The sequence below is a fragment of the Homo sapiens genome, chromosome 3 (assembly GCF_000001405.40).
Source record: "Homo sapiens chromosome 3, GRCh38.p14 Primary Assembly".
NCBI classification, from domain to species: Eukaryota; Metazoa; Chordata; class Mammalia; order Primates; family Hominidae; genus Homo; species Homo sapiens.
Window position 1 is genome coordinate 65,139,455 of NC_000003.12, and position 7,854 is coordinate 65,147,308.

Sequence of the window (7,854 nt, forward strand, 5' to 3'; positions counted from 1 at the left end):
AGGTCTCCTCTCCAACCTCTCTTTCTTAAATAGATGAGAGAGATGGAGGCCCACATTGAGCTAACCCAACCCTGACAGCTACTGGAGAGTAACAGGGAGATTAGATGAAAGTGTCAGGAAAAAAAATACAAAGGTGATATTTTTGTTTCAAAGCCCATTTTCCATATTTTTATCACAAAGTATATACAAATTATAGGGTAGGTCAGGAGACTGGGAAAGGCTTTCTTTGTTCACTAAATATCAGAGTCTGTCAAAAATGTGAGCTCCTTCCTTTCTTAGGGATCTGGCACATTGAAAGTAGAAGGAGCAAAAAGGGAGAGCCGGATAGGGACAGGAACCTGGTGATAAATGGGCTGCACCATCAGTCTAGTTGAAGTCAACCCTTTTTTTAAAGCAGATTAATACTTGAGATGCTCCCCTCATGAGAATGCTCATGTCTGCCTCTATCCCTTTCTCCTGGCCTGGCCACATGCAATCACCTCCCTTCACACATGACACTTGATGCTTTGGGAACATCGTTCATATTAGTCCTCTTTTTTGATTCGCCACATGCCCCTTGAAATCCTATTTGACCTACATAGCCAGCTCAAATACATTCAATATCACCACAAAAACTTCCTGGTGTATTTAGCTGCAATTTATTGCTCCTTCATTGGAATGCCATCATCCTCCTCATCATTGAAGCTATCATTTATTGAATGCGGCTGTTTTTTCCCCCTTGTGTTCTATTATTCAGCAGACATTTAGAGGGTATTAATCATGTGCTGATTACTACCTGTTTGTTTGTGGAGAGGGAGGAAGGGGTGAGGGATAAGGAGAAATAAAACTTCTGCTCTCAAGGAAACATCTCTCAGAATGTCATCATCATCGTCAAATATTGAATTGTGACAGTTACGCCATGGCTGATTCATTTCCTACTCGTGTGTGCTCTCGCACATGGTCTTGCCCTCTTGCCATCAGGTAAGGCCATGTGACTAGTTCTGACCAGTGGGCTGTGAGTGGCTGTGACATCTGTCCCTTGCTATCTGAAGCACTTAAGAGATGGGGGGCGAATAATGATCCCCCTTCTCCCAAGCTCTCTCTTGCTTTCCTTAAAGCACTGCAGTAAAGTGGCTTTAATGCATGTCACAAGTTTGAGGTGACCTAGATCACTGGTAAGTCAGTGAATGGGTAGTAGTTGCCCTGGGGAGTCACCTGGCTCACAGCAGATTTTGTGTTGATGAGAAATAAACTTTTGTGGTATTGAGCACCTGTATTTTGGGAAGATTTGTTAGTGCAGCATGGCCTATCCAAACCAATACGTATCTCAAAGACAGGTTCCCCTACTATCCACATCTCTAAATGAGAAAACTCACACATGGAGTGTAAAGCCGTTTGTACAGGTAGAAACAGAAGGATTCTCCTGTTTCCATTATCAACTCTGCCCTCCTGAATGGATTGATGTCTTTATCACTCAGGTGGGTTAACTGTCTCAGGATTGGGCTCCTGATAAAAGAATCAACCTGATTTTCTTTCTCTGTCTGGTGTGCTGATTTGTCCTTCCATCTTCCACCATGAGATGACCCAGATGCCAGCACTGTGCTCTTGGACTTCCCAGCATCCAGAACTGTGAGCCAAATAAAGTTCTATTATTTATAAATTACTCAGTCTGTGGTATTCTGTCATGGCAGCAGAAAATGAACAAAGACAACCTGTAAACAAACTAATTAGTAAAAGAAAAATTATTGTCATTAATATGGAGACTGAAGTTACTATGGAGCTAATAGCAGCCTACTGATACATTCATTCATTCTTTTTACATTCATTCATTCTTTTTACATATATTATTAAGTGTTCATCACATGCTGAGCACTGGTAGCCACAGTAGGTTTGGCAGTGAAAACACAGGCATAATCTCTACATTCAAGAAACTTATAGTCTAGTGGAGAAAAAAGAAGGTCATCAGATAATGATATGAATGAGCATATAATTGAAGAGATGGAGTCTTGCTCTGTTGCCCAGGCTGGAGTGCAGTGGCATGCTCTTGGCTCACTGCAACCTCCACCTCCTGGGTTCAAGCGATTCTTCTGCCTCAGCCTCCCGAGTAGCTAGGATTACAGGTGCACACCACCACGCCCGGCTAACTTTTGTATTTGTAGTAGCGACGGGGTGTCACCATATTGGCCAGGCTGATCTCGAACCCCTGACCTCGTGATCCGTCTGCCTCAGCCCCCCAAAGTGCTGAGATTATAGGCGTGAGCCACCGCACCCGGCCACTTAACTTTTAGGAAGTTCACTTAGAGGACGGGAGAGTACCCTTTGCCACTCCTTGCTCTTTACTGCTGGTTAGAATGTAGATGTAAAGGCTGGAGGTAAGCCGCCATCCTAGACCATGACATATATGGGAAAGAAAAACACATGTGACAAGATAAGTAAGATAGAAGAAATCTTGTTCTCTTATGCCATAGACCATGCCATCCCTGGGTCGACTGCCTCTAGCTTCTTAAATGTATGAAAGAAATTCACTTCTATCTTCTTTAACCCTCTGCTATTTGGGGATTTTTCTGTTATTCCCATGGAAATGTAATCTAATCCAGTGCTGAATATTAAACACTCATTAAGCTCCTCTGTGAAGTTATTGTACATTTTTAGAAAATTGGCATATTCATAATTGGAAGATAAATTTTCCCTTCAGAATTCTAAGAAGGAGCAAAGCTAGTATATACCATAAGCAATTTTTTTAATTGTAATTTTGAAGTTCTGGGGTACATGTGCAGGATATGCAGGTTTGTTACACAGGTAAATGGGTGCCATGGTGGTTTGCTGCACCTATCAATGCACCACCTAGGTATTGAGCCCAGCATGCATTAGCTGTTTTTCCTAATGCTCTCCCTCCCTCCACCCCAACTGCCAACAGGCCCCAGTGTGTGTTGTTCCCCTCCCTGTGTCTGTGTGTTCTCACTACTCAGCTCCCATTTATGAGTTCAACCATTGTGGAAGACAGTGTAGCAATTCCTCTGAGATCTAGAACCAGAAATACCATTTGACCCAGCAATCCCATTACTGGGTGTATATACCCAAAGGAACATAAATCATTCTATTACAGAGATGCATGTATGCATATGTTCACTGCAGCACTATTGACAATAGCAAACTATTTAGAAGAACAGCTGCATCATGAGTTGAGATGTCCACTTAAAAGAGAATCACTTACAAAACACATTCCTCAAATCACTGCATACTACTAAACAAAGCAGTTTCTTGAAAAGCCAACTTATAATAATAGAAGCAAGTAATCACCTTCCAACAACCTGAGCAAGTCTGCTCACAGCATGATAGCTAGCTATTGTTTACAATGGTGGCATCTTCTTTTGTTTCTGTCTTCCTAATACCAGATAAATTTTATAAAAGTCAGGATTCCATCTCTGTGTATAATTTGGGACACAGCTAATCTGGAGACAAGAATGGATGCAGTCCTAATTTCATCTTTACTTGCCTGATTACCTCCTGTGTTTTCCTATTTGATAAACCTCACACAGGAAAAAGAACAGCACAAGACCTGAGTCAATAAGCCCAGGAGCCCTACTGGAAGACTACGGCACAGAGGACAGAAGGAAGGACACACACTGCCACTCATTGCAAGACCACGGAGTAAGAGATATTTAGAAGAATTACTGCCAGACTTTCTCGATATCAGTGGTAGGGTGTATTTGAGCTTTCAAGCCTGTGGACACTGGGAAGGTGAGCAGCTTTGATCCACATCTAACTCCCTAACTTCTGAGGAGGTACCCGTGTTAAGCTGCTCATCTGAGGTTAAACTTTACTTCCATGCTTCCAAAGCAAACCTAAGTCTGAGAAAGGTGAAAATGAGTGTGGGCTAAACAAATAAGCAAAACCTTTTAAAGGCCTCACTGGTCTTTGGCTTAATTCTGCATCCCTCAAGAGAAAGTTAGGAAGGGCAGAAAAGAGCCAAGGGAACACAGAATCTAATTCTGCTTTGGCAACAGAGGAAACGATTGGGACTCCGAGAAGAGGTGAGTCCACCTCGTCCACATAGCTGGTGACTGCAGAGCTGGACCCAGAAAGGGGCATTCAGCTGCTCAGCCTCCTCTCCAGCATCATGCTACATGGGGGTGCCACCACCCCTGCCACTTCCTTCCTACCGGTAGTACCCATCATAAAATACCAGCATATCCTTGGGAGTCTTAAAAACAATGGGTATACGATGTCATGCTGAATTCTGCCACCACCTTCCCATCTTCTCCTGAACTTTCAAGAAGGGCTGTGCCCTGAGACCTGCTGTGGGGACAAGAGATATGGGAGAAAGAGCCATAGGCATTACTGGCAGGCTCAGCCTGTGGAGGAAATGGCTTTGTGCTGGCCGCAGCCTCCATTCATCACTCACTTAGCAAGGCCTGCCAGAAAAAGAGGCAAGACCAGTCTACTGCCGTTGTTATCCCCATTTCACAGATGGGAAAACCAAGGAATGGAGGGACTAAAACACCCTCATGATTCAAATCCAGCCCTCCTGATTTCCAATGTGGTACTCTTTCCATTATACTACTCTTCTTCCAGAAAATCTCAATGTAAAATTACCCAAGATTTCTGCATTCTCAGAATGCAAGAAAGTTCCATTCCTAACAGAAAAAAACAGGCTCCTATTGTGGGTTGAATTGCATACGCCACTCCCCCAAAAAGGACATCCTAACCCTCATGTAATGGGATTGGTGCCCTTATAAAAGAGGCTTGAGGGAGTCTGTTTGTCCCTTCCAACAGGTGAGGACACAACAAGGCGCCATCTTGAAAGGAAAATGCAAACCTTCACCACACACTGAACCTGCTGGCGCCTTGATCTTGGACCTCCCGGGCTCCAGAACTATGAGAATAAATTCCTATTGTTTATAAATGACCTAGCTGGTGGTAATTTGTGATGCCAGCCCAAACAGACTGAGGCACTGGTAGAGAGATAAAAGCACCCATATGGGGTCTCTTGGCCTCAGGCTGTAACTCCAACTCCCTGTGTAACCTTGGGCAAGTTACTTCCTTTCTCTTTGTCTCCATTTTAACAACAATGAAGTAGTAGCTCCCTTGTAGTCTGAAATGAAGATTACATGAAATAGTGCATATTAAAACATGTAGCACAGATAGCACATAATAAGGACTCAAAAATTTTATAACTATTACTAATTTTTCAGGGCAAAGTTAAACACAAGAGAGAAAAAGGGAAAAGTTTACAAACTTAATAGAAGCCTCAATAATCAACTTTTTCCTGTTCCTGATTATACCTAGTCCAATAAGATAGCTATTAGATACATGTGAGTATTTAAATTCAAATTAATGAAATAAAATGAAATAAAAACTTTTCAGGCACACTAGCCAAATTTTAATAGCCACATGTGGCTACTAGCTATGAATAGAACATTTCCAGGATTGCAGAAAGTTCTATTGGATGGCAATGTTGCCACACTTGCTGCTTGAAGGCCTTAGGTAGAGACTTTCCAGACATGGGAGCCAAGATGCCAAGGGGATGTTATTTTCCTTTCAGCTTATAAAGGATTTCCAATGCTGCATCAGTAAGTAGACATCTTAAAAAATCCCTTTATCAGGAGTAAACATAAAAGTCAGTTCTTATCACAACTTCAAATAGAATGCATAACTACCAAGAATTTTTCATCTACAGTCAGAGATGCAATAAGCCACAAAATGGAGTGTGTATTAATCATGGCAATACCAGTGTATGAATAACTTCTTTAGTAATATCCACAAAAATGCAAAGGGCTTTGAGTTTTAGGAACAAGAATTGGTACAAACACATATAAACCAAGCCCCACATTTACTGTGAATAAAAAGAGACCATTCTGGTGTAACATATTGGCCACACAAACACATTTTTAAGTTTCAGAACCTGGGCTGAATTAAAAACCACATGGAAGATTATAGCTAAAATAGGGAAAAATACAATAGTAAGTGATAGAACAGAAATCAAAGTGACAATGTAGTTTACAAGTTTCCAGTTAGATGTCATCTAAAATGTTTTGTTCACTGTAATTGGCCTATCAAGAAGACATTATGCAAGGAACAGCTCAAGAAACAGCCCACGATGTCTCTCATTTTGATACAATTTCTGGAGGGGGAAAGAATATAATCAAGTCATTTCTGTTCCAATCAAAAGGGGGAAGTCATGGTTCAAGAAAAAGAAAATCAAAATAGAGAAATAAAGTTTATGTTCTACTAATCAGAGATGAGATTCAGAAGGATGACTTGACTTTTAGAAGAGAGTTCAAAAAACCCATTTAACTCCAGGCATAAGAGGGCAATAAACTCATGATGCTAATAAGCAGAATTGTAGATAAATGGAGTTTAGGTCCCCCTAAGCCTTTTATGGCAAGAGAAAGGCCTGACCAAGAAACAAGAGTGATAAGACATAGATGACATTGGAAGTAAACCCGAAAGGGTCAGCATGGACAGCCTTATCTTGCACAGCCCACCACTAAATGAGTTTCTAAGAACAGGCAGTGGAGATCAGCTGTGGGTATCTGTCACAGTCCTCCTATCAAGATTTCCTCTACTCCAGGAAATGATCACATCCCTTCCATCATTTGTACATCAACTAGACTCTCTAGATCATCTTCTTTCTGTCTCATAAATGTCTGTCTGGGAGGTGGGCGGGTCTGGAGAACAGGCCCCAGCAAATTTCTGACACCACCCTCTATAGAGTTCTCTCCCTAAAAAGGAAAAGAAGAACAAGAAAAAAGAATAATGAAAGAGAACCCTTCTTAAAGAGGAGGAGCTCTCTCATTACAAATCCACCATTGCCTCTCCGACAGCTCAAAGAGAAACTGCAGTGATTTCCACATCACAGAAACTCAACGTTAAGTCTCCACATTCCTTTCCTATTACACCTGCCTGCCACCTGCAGAGATGTACTCATCTCATTTCCTGAGAGGGTTTCTGCACATGGCAAGGTGGCCTCAAGTTAAAGGAATGATGCAGGTCAGGAGACACACAGTACAACTCTTTGAAATGTTTATGAAATCAGATCCTGAACTTGTCCTCCCACCATTATGTTGCATGACAGCTATCATACGCCTGCAATTTGCATTGCTGAGAAACAAACAAGAAACTACATGATTTGTTGCTGGACACCTCCCTGTCTATATAGAAAGGGTTTGTTTTTCCACCCGCATGAGAGGTTCCAGCCTGTTCCATCAGCTAGAAAACATATGCTTTAAGATGACATATGTGTATTGCAAGATAATGACCAAGATAATTACTAAATTCAATAATGTAGTTTAAGTTAATAAAAAGCTGAAGTATTAGAAAGTGACACCAAGGATATTAAAACTTGGTAGAAATTCTAAGAACATTGAATAGCCCAATAGCCAATCAGAGCAACAGAGGTTGCTGGTTTTAATGGCATATTAGTGATAAGGTCAGAAGTAGTCTAGCTTAAAAGAGATCCCAGTTTAAAACCATCCTGAGCCCTATCTCAGAACTTCAGAAGCCACCTCAGCAGGTTCTCAACCCCACCCCAATTCTATTCCTTCTATTTTGCCAAGGTCTCCACAGCCTGATGGCTTCCTGATCCCCAAAAGAGGATATCCAAATGAAAAGACCAGGGGATTATGTTTAACTATTCTCAGCCCCTATCTGCCTACATGTTGTAAAAAGCAGTACATACATCTGTTCAGCTATTATCCACATGAAGGACACAATCCGTGGATAGATTCAAGGAAAAGAACAATTCACTAGCAATACTAACAAACTAATCCAAGTAACAGCAAAAATCACTGTGTGCTTCCTAGGTACTACCTGGCACTATTCTAATGCAATTTATGTATAGCTTAGCTTCTCCTTGTGACAACACTACAAAGT

At 41.5% G+C, this 7,854-nt stretch overlaps 1 annotated feature.

Moving 5' to 3' along the window:
* Nucleotides 6,813–7,572: an enhancer, noted in NCBI's record as "OCT4-NANOG-H3K27ac hESC enhancer chr3:65131942-65132701 (GRCh37/hg19 assembly coordinates)". NCBI's record gives its function as "activates a minimal SCP1, AML or CMV promoter by ChIP-STARR-seq in naive H9 embryonic stem cells {active_cell/tissue: H9 hESC(naive)}" and the evidence as "EXISTENCE:reporter gene assay evidence [ECO:0000049][PMID:30033119]".